Raw genomic sequence first — 26,401 nt, forward strand, 5'->3', positions numbered from 1 at the left:
TGGTTGAAACCTCATGTGTACTCACATAAAGAACAGGAAGGACAGAACCTAGGTGGCATTGCTCTGCGAGGCAGGAATGCTGTGTTTTTTGTTGTTGGTGTTGTTATTGTTGTTTTTTGAGACAGAGTCTCACTTTGTCGCCCAGGCTGGAGTGCAGTGGCACGATCTCAGCTCACTGCAACCTCCGCCTCCCGGGTTCAAGCAATTCTCCCGCCTCAGCCTCCCGAGTAGCTAGGATTACAGGCGCCGGCCACCACACCCGGCTCATTTTTGTATTTTTAGTAGAGATGGGGGTTTCACCATGTTGGCCAGGCTGGTCTTGAACTCCTGACCTCGTGATCCACCCGCCTCGGCCTCCCAAAGTGCTGGGATTACAGGCGTGAGCCACCGCACCCGGCTATCTAGGCTGGTCTTGAACTCCTGACCTCAAGTGATCCACCCGCCTCAGATTCCCAAAGTGCTGGGATTACAGGCGTGAGCCACCGCACCCGGCCTGTCTTGTTTTAATCTTTGCTTGTCTCCGTGCTGTTTTTCACACTGCCCAGCAGCTGCTTTTGTGACTCAATGGTTATTAAACACAAGGCCTTAAGGACAGCCCCTACATTCCCAGTCAAGTCTGACGCCACCGGGCTGGTTCCTGGTCCCCGCTCTGCCCTGGCTCCCTCACTCTCCCCTGTACGCCCTCTGCTCCTTAAATCTGCAAAGTGCGTTGCTGCCTCTGGGCCTTTGCACTCGCGGTTTCCTCTTCCTTTCCCCCTCAGGCTGCCACAGGTGGGGGCGTGATGCTCCTGACCGCCTTTCCTAGTCCGGGTGCTGCGCACTTTTTCACAGAACTGCACTTCCTTTGTGGGTCTAATCACACTGCAGCCCGGAAGACACGTTCCTGGGCATTTCCTGTTCTTCAAACCTGGCAAAAATCCGGGAACCCTAACAAAGAACTCGAGAAATTTCTATGTAGCTCATTAAAGTGGCGCACTCACACGGTCTTGGCTTAGACTTGGACTTCCGGCCACTCAACCAATTTTAATGCTGTGCATTTGCGTTCTATTCAGGTTTTTTTTTTTTTTTCTTCTTTGAGATGGAGTCTCGCTCTGTTGCCCAGGCTGAAGTGCAATGGTGCGATCTTGGCTCACTGCAACCTCCGCCTCCTGGGTTCAAGCGATTCTCCTGCCTCAGCCTCTGGAGTAGCTGGGAATACAAGTGCGCACCACCATGCCCGGCTAATTTTTGTATTTTTAGTAGAGACAAGGTTTCACCATGTTGGCCAGGCTGGTCTCGAACTCCTGACCTCAAGTGATACGCTAGCCTCGGCCTCCGAAAGTGCTGGGATTACAGGCGTGAGCCACCGTGCCTGGCCAGATTTTGTTCTTAATGTGAGACCACATTCAATATGCTTAGCCCGCTCTTTCAAACTCCAGCGTGCGCTGTAGGAGCACTGTTTGCACGGCCCTGCATCCTCGCCTGCCCTGTCCCCGGGGCGCCCACGCCGCGAATGAAGGCGCCACGTCGTTGCGCACCCAAGCCGGTTTATTTGGTCTCCCGCACACACTCAGGCCTGCATCACCGGCCGTGATTTCTCCGCTTGCAGCTTCACTCCGGAGCCCGCGAAGCCGGTACCGCCCTGGGGGAGGTAGAGAGAAGGACGAGGTAGAGGCCGGCCCGGGGGTGACCAGTGGGGCTCCAGGTGGTAGTGGGGATTCCTAAGCGGGTCAAGGTGAAGCGGGTTGCTGGCTAAGGAGTAGGAGTTGGGGAGGGGGCGAGGCGACCGCAGTGGGTACGGATGGACAGGGCGCAGGGCGCAGAGAAGAGGGTAGAGAGTGGCAGGGGAGGAGCCTTGGGAGGGAGCGTGTGGAGGGGGTGGAGCCGTGGAGGGCTGGAGGCAGGGAAGGGGCGGGGCCTTGAAAAGGAAGGAGGAGGCGGGGCCTAGGAGAGCGGAGGGGGGGAAGGGCGGGGCCTTGCAGGAGAAAGCGGGGGGGGGGGGCGGCCTTACAGAGCAGAGAAGAAGGCGGGGCCTTGGAGAGTTGGGGGAAGGGGAGGGGACGAAGCCTTGGAGGGGGTGAAGGGGAGGGGCGGGGCCTTGGAGTGCTGGGGGAAGGGGAGGGGTGGGACTCTTACCCGCTGCAGCACGATGATGTCGCGGTCTGTGAGTTTGTCTCCAGTCACAGGGTCCACCATGTCCTTCCGAATCAGCTTCTCCACGCATTCGAGGGTGACCACAGCCCCACTACGGTGAGGCCGAAGGCGGGAGACTCTGATCAGGGGCCTTCCTGGGGACCTACTGGCCCCAAAGCCGGACCGCCCCGCAGGTTCCCGAGTGGTCCCTTCCCTCCCCTCCCAGGTGACTCACGAGGGCCGCAGCACAGCGCAGGGGGTGGCGTTGCTCAGGCTGTCGCGGGTCACGGCACACACGTAGCGCTCGCTGCGGGTGATGAGCCCCACGCGGTCCACGGAGCTGTCTAGCGGTGTGAAGTGCACGGGCGTCAGGTCCGACATGCGCAGGGGCTTCCCTGACATGGGGCAGGTCACCGTGCGGGACTGCAAGGGGCAGAGAGAGGCGGGCTCAGTAGGCAGGGCTGGCGCAGGTGGAGAGCGCGTGGTCCCTGTGCGTGAGGAGGACGGTGGGGAACCCTGGCGCCCTGGCACCGTGCGTGCCGGGGCGCTGTGGGGGCTCACCGGCTTCTCCAGCTTGGTGGCCTTGGCTTCGGGCGTCAGCGACGGGATCCAGAAGCTGGGCAGCACTTTGTCCTTGTCCTTACTTGGAGGACCCACACTGGGCCCAGGTTGGACATCATCTGTGGGGGAAGGAAGGGACTCAGATGCCGCCCCCTGGGCCCGCCCAGCCCGCGGCGCCCCGCCCCCCAACCCACAAGAAGCCCAACCTGAGTCACCTGGGCTGGTGCCCGAGAGGGCCTTGGCTGTGAAAGGGTTGAGGGGCCGGCTCACGATAGCCGACTCCTTCTCCAGGAAGCCCCGCACATGGTCCTGCGAGGCCGCCCGCTGAAGCTCCTTCTGCTCCTCGCGCCGGGTGCCCCGCTGCTTCTCGTAGGCCTGCGTCGGGGAAAGTGGGCTGAGCATCTGCCCGTGGGGCTGGGGGTATCTTCCTCCCATTTCACAGGTAGGTAAACTGAGGCCCACAAAGGGGACCCTCTGATGGAGGCACTATGTGGCAGAGGGTGGTAACTGCCACCCTGGGTGGGTGTGAACCTTACTGCGTTGTATAGCCAGACTGCCAGGGCTCAAAGCCCATCTCTGTCACTCTGTGGCCTAAGTGAGCACTATGACCTCTCCTGGCCTCAGTTTCTTCATCTGTAAAACAGCCTAACAGTGGTTACCCACCTCAGCGGCTCACTGAAGGGTTACATAAGGTGAGTGTTTACAGCATGGAGAGCCTCACCTGGCACTCAGCTAAGCATTTAATTAATGTCACCTGCTGGCCAATTAAGTTTTCTATACAGTGCATGCCCCAGCCCGTGTTTGGGACGGGGGATGTAGACTTCAGATCTAAGGGAATGCTGAGGAGCCCATGTCTATGGACGGACAGTGAGTGAGGACGGGAGAAGTGAAGCCATGACCTGAGCTCAGCCCTGCCTGGCGCACAGCAGTTGCCTGGGCGGTGCTGCAGTTCCAGACCACCCTGGGCCACCCAGCTGAGTGAGGAGGTAACAGTGACAGTGATGGATGCTCATGAGGGCCTCCGACATGACCACCAGGCTGTGTGGAGGACATGGGCACAGGGGGAGCCACCTGCTTGGGACAAAAAGCCCAATAAGCATGTGACCTGTAGTGTTTCCTGAGCGCCAGCAACCAGGCAGGGGAAGAGGGGGACAGACCCACTGTGCCTCAAACAGGGCCCCTCCTACCCATCAAATGGCTTTGTCCATGGAAGGCCAGGCCGGGTTCCCAGTAACACGCCTTGAGAATGCTCATCTGCGTGTACCTCCCAGGTGCCCTGCTGTGTCCTCTGATTTGGCCGTCAGCCCGTTTTACAGACGATGAAACTGAGGCCCAGAAAAAATGAGGTGATGTCAATTCACGTAGCACATCTTTTTTTTTTTTTTTTTTTTTGAAACAGAATCTCGCTCGGTTACCCAGGCTGAAGTGCAGCGGTGCCATCTCAGCTCACTGCGACCTCTACCTCATGGGTTCAAGCGATTCTCCTGCCTCAGCTTCCTGAGTAGCTGGGATTACAGGCGCCCGCCATGCCCGGCTCAATTTTTTTTTTTATTTTTTTATTTTTAGTACAGACAGGGTTTCACCATGTTGGCCAGGCTGGCCTCTAACTGTTGACCTCAAGTGATCCGCCTGCCTCGGCCTCCCAAAGTCCTGGGATTACAGGTGTGAGCCACCACCCCCGACCCATTTAGCATATCTTTACTAAGGACCTAAGCTACAGGGTGGGAAAACTCGAAGTCCATAAGGGAAAGTGGGCATGTGTCAGACAGCCACATGTACAGCTACAACTATGCTAAGTGCTAAGAGAAGAGGTGACTGGGGCAGATCCTGGGGACTGGCAGGAGCTCAGAGGAGGCAGCATCTGGGCTGAAATCGGTGAGAAGGATTTGGCCGGAAGCAGGGGAGGGGAATGGTGTACCAGGCAGAGGGAACTGAGATCAGAGGGCTCTGAGTGGCTCTGCCTGTGAGCTCAGACTCAAAAGCTCCTGCCTCCGTGTGCCGCCTCCTCCCCATCCCCATCACCTTCATCTGCCGGGCAATCTCCTTCTTCTGGTGCAGAATGTACTCCAGGATGGCCTCACGCTCATACAGGTAGCCATCTGGGCTGCAAAGACAGGGTGCAATGAGAAAGAAAGAAAGTGATCCTCCCGCCTCGGCCTCCCGAAGTGCTGGGATTATAGGCAGAAGTCATCATGATCAGTCCCAAGTTCAATTATTTGCTAGAATTCACAGAACTCAGCAAAGCTGTTATACTCATGGTGATAGTTTACTGCAGTGAAAGGATGCAGATTAAAATCAGCAAAGGAAAAAGGCACATGGGGCAGAATCTAGTAGAGACTAGATTTGAGCTTCCAGCTGTCCTCTCCCAATAGAGCTGCAGGGAAAGTGCTTCATTCTCTCAGCAACAATGTGTGCCACATATTGTTGCAGCCACGAGTTCGAGACCAGCCTGGGCAACAAAGTGAGCTCCCCTCTCTACAAAAAACAAACAAAAACGCCAGGTGTGGTAGTGCACACCCGTGGTTCCAGCTACTCGTGGGGGCTGAGGCAGGAGGATCACCTGAGCCTGGGATATCAGTGAGCCAAGATGTCCCCATTGCACTCCAGCCTGGGCAACAAAGTGAAGACTCTGTCTCAAAAAAAAAAAAGAAACCTGAAGGTGGCCTTGGGGGCCCTGATCATTAATTACTGTCTTCTACAAAATATACCACTAATTGAGCACGTATTTAGTGCCTGGACTCAGCACCTGTTAAGCCTTTGCCCTACCATCAGAGGTAGGTCATGGGAAGTGTCCAAAGGTGAGCTGCTCCGATGGCCTCGGCAATGCTCTGAGAGCCCTACACCCCATTAGAAGTATGTTCCTTTCCATATGTTCCACACTATGAAACAGATGCTAGGATCATGCCCATGTCCCATGTGAGAATACAGAGGCTCTGAGGATAAACTGCTCATCCAGGGTTCCCTGGCTGTGCAGGTGGCCAGACCCACGCACACAGCCTCCTCCTGGCGGTTCCCTTGCTCTCCCCACCCAGACCTACCCATCCCTGTTCCCAGCTCACGTGACAACAGGATCGTGGCAAGGCTGCAGGGAGAGACAACAGCAGTCGAAGTCCTTCACGGCATCCCGGCTCAGTCGAATGTTCTGGGTCCCATAGCCCGAGGCCGCTGGGGACAGAGATGGGCAGAGTGATGGAGGGGCGGAGCAACAGGAGACATGTCCGTCTCCAAAGCCCCAGAGAGAGGCACAGAGACAACGCGGTGGTGGGGGTGGGGGACTCAGAGAGAAACAGGCAGTTGGGAGCCGCTGCCTGTGTGCTGGGGCCACGGGCTGAACCCACAGGGAGTTGTCAACCCTGGAGGGTGAGAGGCAGACAGGCCTGGTCACTGAGTGGCAGCTTGGTGGAGGGGCTGACGGCTGACTCCCCTCCACCCTTCTGACTGTGACCAAGCTCAAGTGCCTGTCCCTCTTTGGGCCTCAGTTTCTTCCTCTGGAACATGGGGTAACAAGAGCACCCTCCCTGACACTCTGTTGGGAGGAGTGAGTTCATGCGCAGAAGGCAGAGAACACAGTGCCGGGCCACATGGGGTCATGGGATCACCCAGCTGTTGTTTACATGGTCATGGCCATCAGTGTATATCGGGGGCGGGAGAGAGACAGGGACAGAGGAAGCAAAACCTGGGGCACGAGGGGAGAGGGTGACTCCAAGACACAGCCATGTCCCGCCTCTTCCCACCCCAGCCCTGCACCTGTGTCCTTCTTCTTCTCGTGGTAGGTGTAGACGGCCCCTGCGGTGCAGTTCTTGCCATGCCGCGTCATCCTAGGGAGGAAGGGACAGTGGCAGGACTGTGGTTACCGGAGGCAGGCAGCACAGGGAAGACCTCTGCAGCCCTCAGAGCTGATCTGCCCCCCTTGATGGGAAAGCGGAGGCGGAGAAGGGGGGTGAGGTGGAAGAGAGGGAGGGCATGTGGTCGCCAGGCCTCCTCCAGGAAGTCCTCCTTCCAGACTCACCTAGACTCATTTATATGTGAAAATAGCACCTTTAACAACAAAACTCTTTGTTTGGAGGTAAGAGGGTGAGAGACCAGAGTTCAAATTCTAGCCACTACTTCAGATTAGCTAGGGTGGTGGCTGTGCCATTTAATGGAGGGGAAAAAAAAAGACACCAAGGGGGCCACTATTGTTGATGAATCCACTCCACCTTCCCTTCCCCTCTCATATCTGTAAGCTCTGACTGAGGCCAAGGCGTGGACCAGCCCAGTGATTGGCTCAAGGCTGGGCACTTAGCTAAGGCTTGACACTTAGCTAAGGCTTGACCCAATCGCTGCCTGCCAGTCCACTAGCGACTGGATCTAGCAGCTGTGATTATGTCTCAGATCGACCGATCAGAGGGCAGGTCAGAGTAGGGCTCTGTGTCTAGGGGAAGAGCTACCTCCACTCCCACTGCAGGTAAAGGAGGAAGAGAAGACCCCAGAACCCTGGAGCTCAATTCAAAAAGCAAAGCTTTTTTTATTCTGTAAGTTTTCAAACACATACAAAACCAGAATAGTATAAGGAACCCCCATGATGTACCCATGTCCTGCGGTCCAGCAGCTGTCAACATTTTGCCACCTTACTTTGATACCTTTGATCATTCCCCATACTTAAGGGCAACCCCCACCCTTTTAAATGACTTTATTGAGACACAATTCACATACCATAAAATTAACCCTTTTAAAGTGGTTTCAGACCAGGTGTAGTGGCTCACGCCTGTAATCTCAGCACTTTGGGAGGCTGAGTCAGGTGGATCACTTGAGTTCAGGAGTTCAAGATCAGCCTGGCCAACATGGTGAAACCCCGTCTCTACTAAAAATACAAAAATTAGCTGGGCGTGGTGGCACACGCCAGTAATCCCAACTACTCGGGAGGCTGAGGCACTGAGAATCACTTGAGCCCAGGAGGCAGGGGTTGCAGTGAGCCGACATCATGCCACTGCACTCCAACCTAGACAGAGCAAGGCTCTGTCACAATTAAAAAAAAAAAAAAAAAGACATTGCCTAAGCCAAGATAATGCACATTTATTCCTATGTTTTCTTCTAGGGGTTTGATCATTTTAACTTTTACTTTTTGAGTTAATTTTTGTGTATGGTGTGAGGAAGGGAGCCCCCTACTTTTCTGGAGTTCATTTGTAAAAGGAGAAGCCCTGAACCCACAGAGGCTGGGCAGCTTTCACCAAGACTGCTTGGCCAGTAAACAGCCTGCATGCCTGTTTGTTTGTTTGTTTTTTGAGACGGAGTTTCACTCTTGTTGCCCAGACTGGAATGCAATAGCATGATCTTGGCTCACTGAAACCTCTGCCTCCCAAGTTAAAGCGATTCTCCTGCCTCAGCTTCCCAAATAGCAGGGATTACAGGTGCCTGCCACCACGCCTGGCTAATTTTTTTGTATTTTTAGTAGAGACGGGGTTTCACCGTGTTGGCCAGGCTGGTCTTGAGCTCCTGACCTCAGGTGATCCACCTGCCTCAGCCTCCCAAAGTGCTGGGATTACAGGCGTGAGTCACTGTGCCTGGCCCCTGCAGGCTTTTTTATCCCTTAAAATGATTTAGAGCCAGGCTCAGGGCTCACGCCTGTAATCCCAAAACTTTGGGAGGCTGAAGCAAGAGGACTGTTGAGCCCAGGAGATGGAGATGAGCCTAGGCAACACAGCAAGATCCATCTCTATTAAATTTAAAAACAAAGAAGTTGATGGCCAGGTGCAGTGGCTGATGCCTGTAATCCCAGCACTTTGGGAAGCCGAGGCGGGGGCGGATCACGAGATCAAGAGATCGAGACCATCCTGGCCAACATGGTGAAACCCTGTCTCTACTAAAAATACAAAAATTAGCTGGGTGTGATGGCACATGCCTGTAGTCCCAGCTACTCGGGAGGCTGAAACAGGAGACTCATTGAACCTGGGAGGTGCAGGTTGCAGGGAGTGGAGATTGCACCACTACACTCCAGCCTGGTGACAGACAGAGACTCTGTCAAAAGAAAAAGAAGAGAAGAGAGAAGATCTAGTAACATTATATACTTGTCTCACTCATCTCTAAGTTGCCACCTAAAAATTCTCCCAAGCTTAAACAGTTGCAAAGGATACAATTTCCAGCAACGTAAATGTGTAGCTGATGGAATCTAAATACTGTAATAATTTGAGACCATTTGAAAAATGCAAGAAAAAGCTGTTTCAACAGCAGAAAATTATACATGTCCTGTTTTTCTCTTTGAACTTGTATTTCCGTTCCACTTCCCTCTCTGCCACCCATTTTTAATCTAACATCGTTTTTTCTTTTTGTTTTTTTTTTTGAGACAGGGACTCACTCTGTTGTCCAGGCTGGAGTGCAGTGGTACAATCACAGCTCACTGCAGCCTTGACCTCCTGGGCTCAAGTGATTCTCCTGCCTCAGCCTCTCGAGTAGCTGGGACTACAGGCATGTGCCACCACGCCCAGCTAATTTTTATATTTTTAGTAGAGATGGGGTTTTGCCATGTTGCCCAGGTTGGCCTTGAACTCCTGGACTCAAGTGAACTCCTGGCCTCCCAAAGTGTTGGGATTACAGGTGTGAGCCACTGCACCTGGCACATCATATCTTTTGTGCTTGAAAATTCTTTTTTTTTTTTTTGAGATCGAGTTTTGCTCTTGTTGCCCAAGCTGGAGTGCAATGGCACGATCTCAGCTCACTACAACCTCCGCCTCTTGGGTTCAAGCAATTCTCCTGCCTCAGCCTCCTAAGTAGCTGGGATTACAGGTGCATGCCACCATACCCAGCTAATTTTTTGTATTTTTAGTAGAAACAGGGTTTTACCATATTGGCTAGGCTGGCCTTGAACTCCTGACCTCAGGTGATCCACCCGCCTCGGCCTCCCAAAGTGCTGGGATTACAGGTGTGAGCCACTGTGCCCAGCCTGAAAATACTTGCTTTAGTGATCACCCTGTTATATGTCTCTGCAAGAAATAAAAAATATGGATAGGAAATCCTTTTAAACATTTCCCATTGTTCCTAGGCTATAAGAGTCCAATACTCTTCTAGATCAGTGGTTCTCAAAGTGTGGGTCCTAGGACCCTGTGGTCCCCCAACACATTTCTAGACAGTCTGCAAGGTCAAAACTGTTGTCTTAATAATACTAAGACATTATTTGCCTTTCTGATTCTCATTCTCTCACAAGTACACCAGAGGCTCCATGAGGTGTGACACTGCAACACTAAATTAGTAGTAATTTGTTACAACAATGATAGGAAACTAATATAGTCACCAGGGAAACGCACATTAAAACTTCACTGAAGGCCGAGCACCGTGGCTTACACCTGTAATCCCAGCACTTTGGAGGCTGAAGCGGGCAGATCACTTGAGGTCAGGAGTTCAAGTCCAGCCTGGCCAACATGGCAAAACCCCATCTGTACTAAAAATACAAAAAGTTAGCTGGTCGTGGTGGTGTGCGCCTGTAATCCCAGCTACTGGGGAGGCTGAGGCATGAGAATCGCTTGAACCTGGGAGGCGGAGGTTGCAGTGAGCCAAGATCACGCCACGGCACTCTAGCCTAGGGGACAGAGCGAGACTCCATCTCAAAAAAAAAAAAAAAAAAAAAAACAAAATAAAACTTCATTGAGATACCTCCCCACACGCACCACAAGGGTTGCAATTAGACAGAGGGGTGCAGGCGAGGACATGGAGCTACTAGAACCCTCGTGCACTGCTCAGGGGAGTGCAGACCAGCACAACCACTTTGGAAAGCAACTGTCAGTATCTACTGAAGCCAGGCATATGCCAGTCCTATGAGCCAGCAATTCGTCTCCCACGTATACACCTAACAGAAGGGTACACCTGTTTACAAGACACATACACTGCCCTATTCACAATGGCTCATAAACTGGAAACTACCCCATGCCTGTCAGCACAGAGTAGATAAAGAAACTGGGCCATATCACATAATGGAAACACCCAGCAATGAGACACAACAGCCTACTGTCATACCCATAGTATAGCTGAATCTCACAGACACCACGCAGGCGAGACACCAGACACGCAAAAGAAAACTTACTGTATGATCCCATTCATGTGACGTTCAAAAACTCACAAAGTAATTACTACACCAGAAGTTATGTGTGGGTGGGTGTGGTGGCTCACACCTGTAATATGAACACTTGGGGAGGCCAAGGCAGGAGGATTGTTTGAGCCCAGGAGTTTGAGACCAGCCTGAGCAACATAGCAAAACCTTGTCACTACAAAACATAGAAAAATTAGCTGGGCATGGTGGTGCATGCCTGTAGTCGCAGCTACTTGGGAGTCTGAGATGGATCACCTGAGCCCAGGGAGGTCAAGGCTGCAGTGAGCCATGATTGGGCCACTGCACTCCAGCCTGGGAGTCAGAGTGAGACCCTGTCTCAAAAAAAAAAAAGTCAGGTGCCTTTGGGAGGCAGAAGGTGGGGGTGACTAGGAGGGGCACAGGTAGCATCTGGGAGGCTGGGAATGTTGTTTCTTGATCTGGGTGCTGGTTACATGGGTGTGTTTGCTCTGAAAGTCGCTGGGTTAGACAGTTATGCTTTCTGTACTTCTCTGTACATGTTATAAAAAGAAATTGGCTGGGTGCCATGGTGCACGCCTGTAATCTCAGCACTTCGGGAGGCTGAAGCTGGAAGATCACTTGAGCTCAGGAGTTTGAGACTAGTCTGGGCAACATATTGAGACCCCATCTCTACAAAAAAATATATATATATAAAAATTTGCTGGGTGTGGTGGCACACGCCTGTAATCCCAGCTACTCAGGAGGCTGAAGCAGGAGGACTGCTTGAGCCTGGGAGGTGAAGGCTGCAGTGAGCCAAGATGGAGCCACTGCTCTCCAGCCTGGGCAATAGAGTGAGAACCTGTCTCAAAAGAAAAAAAAAAGAAAGAAAGAAAGAAATTAATGGCGGGGGAACCCCCACTCCATCTTGGACATCATTCCCCATCAGCCCACCAGGCACGTCCTTGGTCTTTATGTGGCTACAGATTCATCCCTGAATGAACACAACTCTTGGATTTGACACCTGTGGACAGACATCCTTGTCCACTATGACAAAGCAGTTTGGTACCCAATGTCTAGCACGTGTCCAAGGATGTTTTTCAGATAAATTCTTTTTTTCTTTCTTTCTTTTCTTCTTCTTTTTTTTTTTTGAGACAGTCTCGCTCTGTCGTCCAGGCTGGAGTGCAGTGGCGCAATCTCGGCTCAGTGCAACCTCTGCCACCCGGGTTCACGCCATTCTCCTGCCTCAGCCTCCCGAGTAGCTGGCACTACAGGCGCTCGCCACCACGCCTGGCTAATTTTTTGTATTTTTTAGTGAAAACGGGGTTTCACCGTGTTAGCCAGGATGGTCTCGATCTCCTGACCTCGTGATCCGCCCACCTCGGCTTCCCAAAGTGCTGGGATTACAGGCGTGAGCCACTGCGCCCGGCCTTTTCTTTAAGACAGGGTCTCACTCTGTCATCTAGGCTGAATACAGTGGTACAATCATAGCTCGCTGCAGCCTCAAACTCCTGGGCTCAAGTGATCCTCCCACCATAGCTTCCCAAGTAGCTGGGAATACAGGCATGCACCACCATGCCCAGCTAATTTTTTATCCAGGCAGGGTCTTGCTATGTTGTCCAGGTTGGTCTTGAACTCCTGGGCTCAAGTGGTCCTCCTGCTTTGGCCTCCCAAAGTGCTAGGATGAAGGGTATGAGCTACTGCACCCAACCCTGCTTTTAAGATAAATTTTAAAAGTGGAATAACTGATTCAAAGGGTGTGTGCATTTAAAATGTGGTTAGAGGCTGGGCTGAGTGCAGCAATGTTTACAACTAATTGATCACAACCAGCTACAGATTTCTTTGTTCCTTTCCACTTCCACTCCTTCACTTGACCAGCCTTAAAAATATAAATACATATACATACATATATATATATACACACATACTATTTTTTTTTTTTTTTTGAGACAGAGTCTCGCTGTCGCCCAGGCTGGAGTGCAGCGGCATGATCTTGGCTCACTGCAACCTCTGCCTCCCAGGTTCAAGCAAATTCTCCTGCCTCAGCCTCCTGAGTAGCTGGGATTACAGGCGCGCACCACCATGCCCAGCTAATTGTTGTATTTTTAGTAGAGATGGGGTTTCGCCATGTTGGCCAGGCTGGTCTTGAACTCCTGACCTCAGGTGGTCCACCTGCCTCGGCCTCCCAAAGTGCTGGGATTATAGGCATGAGCCACCGTGCCCAGCCAAAAAACTTTTTTTTTTTTTTTTTTGAGACGGAGTCTCGCTCTGTCTCCCAGGCTGGAGTGCAGTGGCGCGATCTCGGCTCACTGCAAGCTCCACCTCCCGGGTTCACGCCATTCTCCTGCCTCAGCCTCCCGAGTAGCTGGGACTACAGGCACCCGCCACCACACCGTATAATTTTTTGTATTTTTAGTGGAAACGGGTTTTCACTGTGTTAGCCAGGATGGTCTCGATCTCCTGACCTCGTGATCCGCCCGCCTCGGCCTCCCAAAGTGCTGGGATTACAGGCGTGAGCCACCGTGCCCGGCCCCAAAAATTTTTTTGTTAGAATTTACTAGTTGCTCTCCATACAGACTGCACAGGTCTATATACCTCCAACAACATGAGAGAGCCACTCCTCACAACTTTGCCCCAGGGCTTCCTGGGACTGGCTCTGAGCTGTGCCTGGGTCAGCAAGGAACCTCCTGCACCATGCTGTGGAAAATGTGCCATCAGTGAGAGACTGGGAGAAGATACTTGTAATGCCTACAATCAACAAGGGACTAATATCATTTTCATTTTTATTTTATTTATTTTGAGACAGAATCTTGCTCTGTCGCCCAGGTTGGAGTGTAGTAGCATGATCTCGGCTCACTGCAACCTCTCTGCCTCCTGTGTTCAAGCGATTCTCCTGCCTCAGCCTCCCCAGCAGCTGAGATGATAGGTGTCTGCCACCAGGCCCGGCTAATTTTTTTGCATTTTTTTTTTAGTAGAGACAGGGTTCACCACGTTGGCCAGGCTGATCTCGAACTCCTGACCTCAGGTAATCTGGCCACCTTGGCTTCTCAAAGTGCTGGGATTACAGGCATGAGCCACCACACCCAACCAACAAGGGACTAATATGTAGAATAGTCAGTTCTACTATAAGGCATGCATTCATAGAAATCACAGCAATATGCAAAATCCTGCAGTCAAAAACCACAAGGCTTACAGAGAAAACAGGATTGTGTCACAATCCTCGTAAACTTTGTCGGTGATGCTTAAAGAAAAAGATAAGAACAGAATACAAAAGGAGAGAACAGTTTCACACGGGCTAGGTGGTTAAGACATACCAACATACTCCAAAAATATGGCAGTTGACCTTGACAAAGACTTGAAGTTTGTTGTGGCAATGGGTGTGGGGTGGAGGGAGCGCCTTGTGAATTACTGTGATGTGGTGGAAAGAGGGTTATTTGAGATCTGATGGAAAGTCCTAGTACCAGATGTGGATGGGTGTGGCTCCTAACACCCGGGGAACTGCGGTGGTGGTATTTGTTTGAAGTGCCGTGTATGTGTGCTTTGTGTATTCCCACACACACACTTATAGCAGAGTGCAGTTTCCTGGATTCACCTTGGATGCACATAAGCAAATGTGAAATTGGTGTTATGCTCAAATTGTTCCCTGATATATCAACTGCATTGGAATAAATTCACATTTTCAAAATAAGCATTATAGCAGAACTGATGGTACATGAAACTCCAGCAAATCAAGAAGAAAATTACAGCCACTCCAATAGAAAGATGAGTAAAAGAGGCTGGGTGCCGTGGCTCATGCCTGTAATCCCAACACTTTGGGAAACCAAGGCAGGAAGATTGCTTAAGGCCAGGAGTTCAAGACCAGCCTGGGCAATATAGCTAGACCCCATCTCTAAAAAAAAAAAAAAAATAGTTTGTTTGTTTGTTTTTTTTTTTGAGACAGAGTCTTGCTCTGTCACCAGGCTGGAGTGCAGTGGCGCAATCTCGGCTCACTGCAACCTCCGCCTCCCAGGTTCAAGCGATTCTCCTGCCTCAGCCTCCTGAGTAGCTGGGACTACAGGCCTGCACCACCACGCCTGGCTAATTTTTGTATTTTTAGCAGAGATGGGCTTTCACCACGTTGGTCACGATGGTCTCGAACTCCTGACCTCGTGATCTGCCCGCCTTGGCCTCCCAGAGTGCTGGGATTACAGGTGTGAGCCCACTGCGCCCGGCCTGGGAGGATCTTTAAATCATAATGCTTAGTGAGAAAAGAGTAAAACAAGAGCTCAATACCATGTAGGCACAGGAAATCTACTGTGCATACAATGATACTTTTTTTTTTTTTTTTTGAGACGTTATCTCGCTCTTTCACCCAGGCTGGAGCGCAGTGGCACAATCTCACTGCAAGCTCCACCTCCCAGGTTCACACCATTCTCCTGCCTCAGCCTCCTGAGTAGCTGGGACTACAGGCACCTGCCACCACACCCAGCTAATTTTTTTTATTTTTTTTTTAGTAGAGATGGGGTTTCACCATGTTAGCCAGGATGGTCTTGATCTCCTGACCTCGTGATCTGCCCGCCTCGGCCTTCCAAAGTGCTGGGATTACAGGTGTGAGCCACCGTGCCTGGCCTACAATGATACATTTTAAAGAACATTTGGCCGGGCACGGTGGCTCACACCTGTAATCCCAGCACTTTAGGAGGCCGAGGTGGGCGGATCACTTGAGGTCAGGAGTTTTGAGACCAGCCTGGCCAACATGGTGAAACCACGTCTCTACTAAAAATACAAAAATTAGCCGGGCGAGGTGGCAGGCGCCTGTAATCTCAGCTACTCAGGAGGCTGAGGCAAGAGAATTGCTTGAACCCGGGAGGTGGAGGTTGCAGTGAGCCAAGATCGCGCCATCGCACTCCAGCCTGGGGGACAAGAGTGAGACTTTGTCTCAAAAAACAAAAACAACAACAACAACAACAAAAAAGAACACTTGCAGGTGGGGCGAGGTGGCTCATGCCTGAGGTGAGCAGATCACCTGAGGTCAGGAGTTCAAGACCAGCCTGGTCAACATGGTAAAACCCTGTCTCTACCAAAAATACAAAAATGAGCCAGTCGTGGTGGCCACCTGTAATCCCAGCTACTTGGGAGGCTGAGGCACAAGAATCGCTTGAACCCAGGAGGCGGAGGTTGCAGTGAGCCGAGACTGTGCCAATGCACTCCAGCCTGGGTGACAGACACTCATCTCAAAAAATAAAGAAAGAATAAAATATAAAGAACTCTTGCAGACAAAAGGCTCCACATGACACATATTAGTTGCATTCAGGAAAGATTGTCTCCTGCTCTCAAGTAGCCTGCAAGTAGGATCCAGAAGTTGGGGTGGGGAGCACAACCAAGGGTCCCACCGATGTAAAAAGCAACTTCATCTCTATCGCCCCCTTCTGGTTGCTTTGAAAAACTTGCCTTTCCCATTCAAAACTTGAAACACAAACCTCTGGGAGCTATGGAGCTCTCTCTCCCCCTACTGGCGTCTTCTCAGAAGCCACTCTTTGGGTTTTAGGTATATTTACACAGAATCAAAGCAAAGACCTTTACAGTTGGATGCGATCTGACAAATGTATACACCCTTGTGACCACGACCCTATGGAGATACAGAACCTTCCTATCACGCTAAATACCCCCTCACGCCCCTTCCCGATCAATGTGCCCCCTGAGGCAGCCAGGGCTGCTTGCAGAAGGGCGACCTTGATCAAACACCCCAACTTGACCCAGGGTCCCCTCCACATGCCAGGCTCCTCCTCCGACTTCCCCCTGACCCCCAAGCTTCTCAGTGAACGTCCAACACCTGTTGCCTCCCCTCACCTGCCATCCGCTCCCCAGCCCCCACAACTGCCACTCATGAAGGTCACGGTGACCTTTTCATGGACACATTCCCCACTCTATTCTTAGTTGTCAACTCCCTTGACCCTCTGCAGTATTTGGCTCTGGGCACCTCGGCTTTCCCAGAGATGAGCTTGCTTGCTGTTTTGTGGCCAAGAACTGAGGTTTCTACATAGATGGGGACATTTTCCCTCCAAAAATAGGAGGAACACCTATAGAGGGAGCATTTAAACTTTTTTTAATTTAATTTGTTTTTTTTGAGATGGAGTCTTGCTCTGTTGCCGAAGCTGGAGTGCAGTGGTGTGATCTCGGCTCACTGCAACCTCCACCTCCTGGGTTCAAGCAATTCTCCTGCCTCAGACTCCCAAGTAGCTGAGATAACAGGCGCCCACGCCCAGCTAATTTTTTTTTTTTTTTTTTTGTATTTTTTAGTAGAGACAGGGTTTCACCATGTTGGCCAGGCTAGTTCTGAACTCCTGATCTCAAGTGATCCGCCCACCTCAGCCTCCCAAAGTGCAAGGATTACGGGCATGAACCACTGCACCCGGCAAACTCTTTGATTTTTAAAACTCAGTGATTTTTAAGATCCTGAGACCAGAAAGCGTGAGCGCCTCCAACCAAGGGTGGAAGAATAGCCAGTTTCAGGATTTACAAACTCTGAAAGCTGAGCTCTCCTGCCCCACACTATATTGTCTCTTTGGTAGGTCCAATTTCAAACTACAAAGCAGACTGCTGCCATCTGCTGTCACCAGCATTTCAGAGAGGAAACAGGCAAAGAGCAGGAGCGACCGATGTCAGCATAATCCCTACCTCACAGCACAGGAAACAGGCTCACAGCATGTCCCAGCTGGGAAATGGCAGAGCTGGGACTCAGACCCAGGCAGCCAGGCTCTGGAGCCATTCCTTTTAACTAGGTGACAACTGTCAGTTTTCCTAGGAAAGTCACAATCTCAGAAAAAAGGCCAATCAGGCTGGCCACGGTGGCTTAAACCTGTAATGCCAGCACTCTGGGAGGCTGAGACGGGTGGATCACAAGGTCAAGATGTTGAGACCATCCAGGCCAACATGGTGAAACCCCATCTCTACTAAAAATACAAAAATTAGCTGGGTGTGTTGGTGCGCGCCTGTGGTCCCAGCTGCTCGGGAGGCTGAGGCAGAAGAATCGCTTGAACCCAGGAGGTGGAGGTTGCAGTGAGCCCAGATCGCACCACTGCACTTCAGCCTGGCGACAGAGTGAGACTCTGTCTCAAAAAAAAAAAAAAAAAAAAGCCAATCCATTCCTTTATTTGTAGCCTTTGAAATCCAGAATGTATTTTACTCTTTCAGCACATCTCAGTAATTTCAGTAATTCAGATGCTAAATTTTCTTTTTTTTTTCTTTTTTTTTTGAGATGGAGTTTCGCTTTTATCACCTAGGGTGGAGTGCAGTGGTGTGATCTCGGCTCACTGCAACCTTCACCTCCCCGATTCAAGTGATTCTCCTGCCTCAGCCTTCCAGGTAGCTGGGATTACAGGCACCCGCCACCATGCCTGGCTAATTTTTTGTATTTTTAGTAGAGATGGGGTTTCGCCATGTTGGGCAGGCTGGTCTCGAACTCCTGACCTCAGGTGATCCACCCGCCTCAGCCTCCCAAAGTGCTAGGATTACAAGCATGAGTCACTGCACCCAGCCTTTTTTTTTTTTTTTTTTTTTTGAGACAGAGTCTCGCTCTGTTGCCCAGTCTGGAGTGCAAAATAGTGCAATCTTGGCTCACTGCAACCTCCACCTCCAGGGCTCAAGCCATTCTCCTGCCTCAGCCTCCCAAGTAACTGGAATTCCAGGCGTGTGCCACCATGCCCAGCTCATTTTTGTATTTTTATATTTGTATTTTTAGCACAGATGGGGTTTCACCACATTGGCCTGGCCATCAGATGCTAAATTTTCATTGGAGATACTTTAAAATATATATATATATATGGCTGGGAGCAGTGGCTCACGCCTGTAATCCCAGCACTTTGGGAGCCCAAGGCGGGCAGATCACCTGAGGTCAGGAGTTCAAGACCAGCCTGGCCAATGTGGCGAAACCCTGTCTCTACTAAAAATGCAAAAATTGGCTGGGTGTGGTGGCAGGTGCCTGTAGTCCCAGCTACTCGGGAGGCTGAGGCAGGAGAATCGCTTGAACCTGGGGGCAGAGGTTGCAGTGAGCCAAGATCGGGCCACTGCACTCCAGCCTGGCCAACAGATCAAGACTGTGTCTCAAAAAAAAAAAAAAAAAAAAAGCCCGGCTCTGAAGCAGACCCTGGCTCTAAGCATTTTACTGAATATCATAACACCTCAAACGGTCGAATATCACAACACTCCACTGAATATCACAGCACCTCAAATAGTTGCTATAAATGAAGAGAGGCACAGAGGCGGTGCCCTAGGTTATGCAGCTAGTGAGTCCTACAGCTGTGTTTGATCCAAGCACCTGTGGCTTTGACCATCCACTGTGCCAGCTGGCTGCAGGCGGCCTCAGGCACTGTGCTGAACTCTGGGAGTGGATCAGACAGCTAGTGTGTGTCTTGTCCTCCCCTGAAATCCTGTCTCCTTTCTCCTCCAGAGCACTGCCAAGGTTTGCCTCCTCCAAGAAGCCTGCCTCTCCGGGATCAGTTAGGTTCTCCTTGCACTTGACCGTGCCCTGAGCTACCTCCGTTACAGCCCGTCCCTCGGTATTTCGGCTCCAGAGTAGGGGCCCTGGTTGGTGGGGCCTGGGTTGAACTTCAGCCTGGGTCCCAGCATTGCCTGGCACCTGGGAGGTCTCAGAGATGTCATGATAGAATCAATGAACCACCTCCAATCCTAGGGCCAGGGGAGGTGGGTTAGCAATGAACTAACCATGCAGCCATGACATCATGCCATTAATACACTAATAATTCATTAGTAACATGTGAATCACAGAAGCACTGGAAGAACAGAAGTAATCATCACATCCTTCAACCCCTTAAGAATCAGACCTTGTGGGAAGCACTTTCCACATGTGAACACATTCGGTCCTCATGACAACCTCCCCACGTTCTGCCCATTTATTTTATTTTATGTATGTATGTATGTATGTATGTATTTATTTTGGAGACAGTCTCACTGTCACCAGGACTGAAGTATTTTTTTTTTTTTTTTTTTGGAGACGGAGTCTCACTCTGTCACCCGGACTGGAGTGCAGTGGCACGATCTTGACTCACTGCAACCTCCACCTCCCAGGTTCAAGTGATTCTCCTGCCTCAGCCTCCCAAGTAGCTGGGATTACAAGCACACACCACCATGCCTAGATACTTTTTTTGTATTTTTAGTAGAGACGGGGTTTCACCATGTTGGCCAGGCTGGGTCTTGAACTCCTGACCTCAGGTGATCTACTACCTCGGCCTCCCAAAGTGCTGGGATTACAGGCATGAGCTACCGCGCCCAGTCTTGCTCATTTAATAGGTAGGAAAATTGAAGCTTGGAGAAATTGGCCTCTTCCTCAGTCTATTCCTTGACAAACCAGCCTCAGGGGGGCTTTTCAGAATGGAAGTTTGATTAAGTCACTCTCTTCAACTGCTTCTTGGACATGACTCAAGACAAAAACCAAATTATTCAGACTAAGTGTAAGAGAAATGGGAGAATAGGAAAACTGCCATTTTGCAACCTCTGGTGAAATAGCTGACTCAGGCAATGATTGTTGATGGATGGCATTAAAGGAGAGGCTGATGGGGCCTGGATAGTCACAGGATGCTAATTCTTGCTACTGGAAAATACACAGTTGTAGCTTTACAATGCGGTTTTCGATGGCTGCCACCTGTCTCAGTCTGCTCCAGCTGCCATAACAAAACACCACTCTGGGTGGCTTAAACAACAGACCTATTTTCTCCAGTTCCTGAGGCTGGAAGTCTAAGTTCAGGCTACCAGCATTGTGGGGTTCTGGTGACACCCTCTTCCTGGTTTGCAGATGGCTATCTTCAGTGGCAGAGAGAAAGCTCTCTGGTGTCTCCTTCTGTTTTTTGGGAGGAGTCTCACTTTGTCACCTAGGTTGGAGTGCAGCGGCGGATCTCGCCTCCCAGGCCCAAGTGAATCTCCTGCTTCAGCCTCCTAAGTAGCTGGGATTACAGGCGTCCACCACCATGCCTGGCTAATTTTTTTTTTTTTTTTTTGAGACGGAGTTTCGCTCTGTCACCCAGGCTGGAGTGCAGTGGCGTGATCTCGGCTCACTGCAAGCTCTGCCTCCAGGGTTCATGCCATTCTCCTGCCTCAGCCTCCCGAGTAGCTGGGACTACAGGCGCCCGCCACCATGCCCGGCTAATTTTTTTGTATTTTTAGTAGAGAGGGGGTTTCACCACGTTAGCCAGGATGGTCTCTATCTCCTGACTTCGTGATCTGCCCACCTCGGCCTCCCAAAGTGCTGGGATTACAGGCGTGAGCCACTGCGCCCGGCCTCATTTTTGTATTTTTAGTAGAGACAGAGTTTCACCATGTTGGCCAGGCTGGTCTTGAACTCCTGATCTCATGTGATCCACCTGCCTTGGCCTCCCACAGTGCTGGGATTATAGGCATGAGCCACCATGCGCAGCCTCCTCCTATTATAAGGACACCAATCCATCAGATTAGGGCCCCACTCTTTCACCTTAATTATCTCCACAAAGGCCCTACCTCCAAATATAATCACCTTGGGGAATTAGGGCTTCAATATACGAATCTGGGGGGGACATTCAGTCTATAATGCTGCCTGAGCCTGAATGAATTTCACTACCCCTGAAAATGGGGCACCCAGGCAGTATGCAACATGAAGCGACCAGCTCTGAAGTAATCACCTGACAGCTGAATGGAAATTTAATCAAGTCTTTACATTCAATTTCCTGATTCTAGGAAGTCAGAGGATATAGCAGGGAATAACAAAAAAGGGCCAGAGAGTAAATGTTTTGAACTTTGCAGGCCAAACAGCCCCTGTAAGTACTCCACTCAGCCCCTGTAGCATAAAAGCAGCCACAGACACACAAACGGGCATGGCTGTGTTCCAATAAAACTTTACTTTTAGACTCTGACACGGAATCACATATAATTGTCATAGGTCACCAAATTCATTCTTTTGGTTTTTTCCAGTTATGTAAAAACGTTAAAAACCAGGCCAGGCGCAGTGGCTCACGCCTGTAATCCCAGCACTTTGGGAGGCCAAGGCGGGCAGATCGTGAGGTCAGGAGATTGAGACCATCCTGACTAACACGGTGAAACCCCGTCTCTACTAATAATACAAAAACAAAATTAGCCGGGCGTGGTGGCGGGCGCCTGTAGTCCCAGCTACTCCGGAAGCTGAGGCAGGAGAATGGCATGAACCCGGGAGGTGGAGCTTGCAGTGAGCGGAGATCACGCCACTGCACTCCAGCCTGAGCGACAGAGCGAGACTCCATCTTATAAAAAAAAAATGTTAAAAACCATTTTTAGTTTGCAGGCTGAACAAAAACAGGTAGCAGTTACAAAAGTCAGATATCTCCTGGCTGTTGTGGCTCATACCTGGATAGGGTGCTTTGGGAGGCAAAGGCAGGAGGATCACTTGAACTCACGAGTTCAAGACCAGCCTGAGCAACATGCCAAAACCCTGTCTCTACCAAAAAAAAGCAGCAGCAGCATGGTTTTTGAGACCAGACTTGAACTTGCTATGGGCAACATAGCAAGACTCCATCTCCACAAAACAAAATTTAAAAAATTAGCCGGGCATAGTGGCATGCGCCTGTGGTCCCAGCTACTTGGGAGGCTGAGGCAGGAGGATCACTTGATCCCAGGAGGTTGAGGCTGCAGTGAGTTATGATCGTGCCACTGCACCACTGCACTCCAGACTGAGTGACAGAGTGAGACCTTGTCTCTGGGGAAAAAAAAAAAAATGCCAGGTGAGGTGGCTCACACCTGTAATCCCAGCACTTTGGGAGGCCGAGGTGGGCGGATCACCTGAGGTTGGGAATTCGAGACCAGCCTGACCAACATGGAGAAACCCCATCTCTACTAAAAATACAAAATTAGCTGGGCGTGGTGGTGCATACCTGTAATCCCAGCTACTCGGGAGGCTGAAATGGGACAATCACTTGAACCTGGGAGGCGAAGGTCGTGATGAGCCAAGATCGCACCATTGCACTCCAGCCTAGGCAACAAGAGTGAAACTCTGTCTCAAAAAAAAAAAAAAAAAAAAAAAAATCAGGATATCTGATAAGGGAATTGCAGTGAGAATATATTAAAAACTTACAACTCAATAATGAAAGGACACCTAACACAATTTGAAAATGGGTAAAGGATTGGAATAGACAGTTCTTCAAAGATCTACAAATGGCCAATAAGCATGTTAAAAGACACCAGTTCACACCCCCTAGAATGACTATAATCAAAAAGATAAATAATAAGTGCTGGTGTGGATATGGAGAAACTGGAACCCTTATACATTGGTGGTAGAAATGTAAAATGGTACAGCCATTCTGGAAAAGTCACAGTTTCTCAAAAGGTTAAATAGTCACCTTTTGACCCAGCAATTCCACTGCCAATAGAAATAAAAACATACATCCATGCAGGCGGGGCGCGGTGGCTCATGCCTGTAATCCCAGCACTTTGGGAGGCCAAAGCGGGCGGATCATGAGGTCAAGAAATCGAGACCATCCTGGCCAACATGGCGAAACCCCATCTCTACTAAAAATACAAAAATTAGCTAGGCGTGGTAGCGCATGCCTGTAGCCCCAGCTAGTCGGGAGGCTGAGGCAGGAGAGTCGCTCAAACCTGGGAGCCGAGATCACGCCACTGCACTCCAGCCTGGGTGACAGAGCAAGACTCTGTCTCAAAAAAAGAAAAAAAAAGAAAAGAAGTATATCTTGGGTAAAGGAATATTATCCAGCCATAAAAAGAATAAAGTAGCTGGCTGGGCGCCGATGGCTCACACCTGTAATCCCAGTACTTTGGGAGGCCAAGGCAGGAGGATCACTTGAACCCAGGAGGTTGAGGCTGCAGTGAGCCATGATCGAACCACTGCACTCCAGCCTGGGTAACAGAGCAAGGCCGTGTCTCGGGAAAAAAAAAAAAAAAAAGAAGTATTGATACATGCCACAACATAGGTGAACCTTGAAAACATGCTAAATGAAAGAAGGAAGGCAGTCACAATAATATTTTATGGTTTCATTTGTGCAAAATACCCAGATTAGGCAAATCCACAGATATAGCAGAGTAGTGGCTGCCAAAGACTGGGGTGGGAAGGATTGGGAGGAAATAGGGAATGACTGCTAATGAGTACCAGGGTTTCTTTTTGGGTGATGAAAATATTCTTAAAATGATAGTGTTGATGGTTGCACAACTCTGTCAACGTACTAAACACCACTGAATTGTATATTTTCAATGGGTGAACTATATGTTAGGTAAATCATATCCCACTAATGCTTTTTTTTTTTGAGAGGGAGTTATGCTCTTTTGCCCAGGCTGGAGTGAAGTGGCATGATCTCAGCTCACTGCAACCTCTGTCCCTAGGGTTCAAGCAATTCTCCTGCCTCAGCCTCCTGAGTAGCTGGGATTATAGGTGCCAGCCACCATGACCAGCCAATTTTTGTATTTTTAGTAGAGATGAGGTTTTACCATGTTGGCCAGGCTGGTTTCGAACTCCTGACCTCAGATGATCCACCTGCCTTCACCTCCCAAAGTGCAAGGATTACAGGCATGAGCCACTGTGCCTGCCCAATGGGGATTTTTAAAACAGGTAGCTGGCAGGATTTGAGTTTGGTCTGTAGAACATAATTAGCTGATCCCTGGCATGAGGAAACAAGTAAAATGAGGCCGGGCTCAATGGCTCACACCTGTAATCTAAGCACAGCACTTTGGGAGGCCAAGGCAGGAGGATCGCTTAAGCCCAGGAGTTTGAGACCAGCCTGGGCAACATAGTGACACCTTGTCTCTATCTATTTTTTCTTTTTTTTTTTTGAGACAGAGTCTCACTCTGTCGCCCAGGCTAGAGTGCAGTGGCGTGATCTCGGCTCACTGCAAGCTCTGCCTCCCGGGTTCACGCAATTCTCCTGCCTCAGCCTCCTGAGTAGCTGGGACTACAGGTGCCTGCCATCATGCCCGGCTAAGGGGTTTCACCGTGTTAGCCAGGATGGTCTTGATCTCCTGATCTCATGATCCGCCCGCCTTGGCCTCCCAAAGTGCTGGGATTACAGGCATGAGCCACTGTGTCTGGCCTATTTTTAAATACTTAAAAAAAAAAAGAAAGAAAACAGAAGCAGGTAAAATGAGACCACAAAAAAGCAAACGGGACAAATTCAGATGGTGGGATGATCAACTGAACTAGAATTAGTTTCTTCAATGAATCGATTACACCAAGAAATAACCAAAGTGGAGTGGAAGGGGGAACAGTTCTAAATTAAGAGAGATGTAAAAGACGATAGCAATTACTTAACTATATCCTGATTCCAACAAACCCACAGTTACACTGGACTTGACTCTGCACCACGTAATGGATAGTAGTCTAGAATTACGGTTGTTCTTTTAAAGTGTGATGATGGTATTGTGGTCATATCAGCAATGTTTCTGGTTTTTACACACGCACCCTGTTAGATAAAATTTATAGAAGGTCATTGGTTTGGATTGAGCTCCTGCACTAGGTTCAACAGACCAAACCAAAATGGAGACACTCATGCTAAAGTTCCATGCTTCCAAGCCAAAACTAAGTTGATATCTGATCTTCTGAGATATCAGGAGAGAGATAATAGCCAAATCCCCAAACAACCCAGTTTTAGCCCACCTGATAAAGGAAGTCCCCTCTACTTTAACCTTTAACTTAGAAATTTAATCAAGTTAATCAATTTAATCAACTAGCTTTTTGTTTTCCGTTTCTGATTTTCTCAGCCCTTTGTCTCTGAAAACAACCTCTGCTCAGCTCATCGGAACACTCACGCTATTTTCCATAATTAGATGTTGTTTGATTGTAGATTCACGAATAAATGCCAATTAAGATCTTCTCACTAAATGTGTTGCAATTTTGTCTTTTGACAATCCTTAAGTGTCATGATGCCTACGATTTGTTTTAATCTCTTTAAGTTTAAAAAAATACAGCAAGTATGGCAAAAATAATCATTGGTGATTTGGGTGACAGGAATTCCTGTATTCTTCTCTCACTTTTATATAAGTTTGAACATTTTCGTAAGAAAACATTAACATCAAACTGCCTCAAGGACCGTTCAAGCCCCAAGTTCACAGAATTAGCAGCACAATCAGAATGGGAATCCATGACTGCCTGACCCCGAAGCTCCACACAAGAAAACGTGAATCCCTGCACCAACCCCGAAAGGGAAGGGGCTGTCAAAAAGGTGAAGAGAAGGTGGCGATGGATGACTGCACAATCTAGTATCGCCCGCCGTCCCACCACAGTCTGAGAAACTGAGGCCAGGAAAGGAGTTCTCCCTCCTCAACTCCCACTCCTTAGACCCCCAGCAATCCCAGTCCACTCCTTCCCTTGGGACCACCAGCAAATAGCCATCATCTACAGCAGAACTGTAACTCTCAGGAGAACTGGCCGATGCTAGCTACCACTTGACTGAGTTTATAGTGAGAGAGAGAGACAAAGAGAGAGAGAACTGCCCGATGGACGGTTGGCCACCTCCAGCAGAGTGTAGTTCAGCTTCAAACTTGGGGCGCCCGGACAGCTGTATTAATAATGATTGACAGGGAATCGGGAATCCAAAATCTTGCCCCAGTCTCCCTCAAGACCCCAGGCCTCTAGCCCGCAGGAAAGCGATCCCAGCAACACTCTTCCTGCACCGCCTCGAACTCACCTCACTAACGACTCCCAGTCCCTCGGTCGCTTCTTCAACTGTGCCCCGACACCGGAAAGGAGCACTATTTTCCCCCTCCGCTCCGCCC

At 50.1% G+C, this 26,401-nt stretch overlaps 1 protein-coding gene across 10 annotated transcripts, besides 3 other annotated features; it reads right to left on the reverse strand.

The window, feature by feature from the left end:
* Nucleotides 1–1,266: 1,266 nt before the first annotated feature.
* Nucleotides 1,267–26,355, reverse strand: NOSIP (nitric oxide synthase interacting protein). 10 transcript variants are annotated; one of them, NM_015953.6, is made up of 10 exons: nt 26,314–26,355; nt 22,558–22,676; nt 6,421–6,491; nt 5,733–5,838; nt 4,696–4,777; nt 2,889–3,048; nt 2,674–2,792; nt 2,348–2,535; nt 2,116–2,224; nt 1,510–1,621 (listed from the first exon to the last, which is right to left on the reverse strand). In NM_015953.6, the coding sequence occupies exons 3-10, from the start codon at nt 6,488–6,490 to the stop codon at nt 1,550–1,552; spliced, it is 906 nt and encodes a 301-aa protein (NP_057037.1). In that variant the 5' UTR covers nt 6,491; nt 22,558–22,676; nt 26,314–26,355; the 3' UTR covers nt 1,510–1,549. The 10 variants fall into 10 exon arrangements, with proteins under 10 accessions (NP_001257889.1, XP_016882341.1, XP_011525319.1 ...); NM_001363649.3 differs by having other exon boundaries at nt 2,880–3,048; NM_001270960.2 differs by lacking the exon at nt 22,558–22,676 and having other exon boundaries at nt 1,267–1,621.
* Nucleotides 1,851–2,632: an enhancer, noted in NCBI's record as "H3K27ac-H3K4me1 hESC enhancer chr19:50059309-50060090 (GRCh37/hg19 assembly coordinates)". NCBI's record gives its function as "activates a minimal SCP1, AML or CMV promoter by ChIP-STARR-seq in naive H9 embryonic stem cells {active_cell/tissue: H9 hESC(naive)}" and the evidence as "EXISTENCE:reporter gene assay evidence [ECO:0000049][PMID:30033119]".
* Nucleotides 6,398–6,447: an enhancer, noted in NCBI's record as "active region_14948". NCBI's record gives its function as "activates an Ori minimal core promoter by ATAC-STARR-seq in GM12878 lymphoblastoid cells {active_cell/tissue: GM12878}" and the evidence as "EXISTENCE:reporter gene assay evidence [ECO:0000049][PMID:35858748]".
* Nucleotides 13,038–13,216: a silencer, noted in NCBI's record as "fragment chr19:50070496-50070674 (GRCh37/hg19 assembly coordinates)". NCBI's record gives its function as "represses an EF-1alpha promoter that drives an FKBP-Casp9 reporter gene in an ReSE screen in K562 erythroleukemia cells {active_cell/tissue: K562}" and the evidence as "EXISTENCE:reporter gene assay evidence [ECO:0000049][PMID:32094911]".
* Nucleotides 26,356–26,401: the final 46 nt, after the last annotated feature.

This window comes from Homo sapiens, chromosome 19, assembly GCF_000001405.40.
Source record: "Homo sapiens chromosome 19, GRCh38.p14 Primary Assembly".
NCBI lineage: Eukaryota > Metazoa > Chordata > Mammalia > Primates > Hominidae > Homo > Homo sapiens.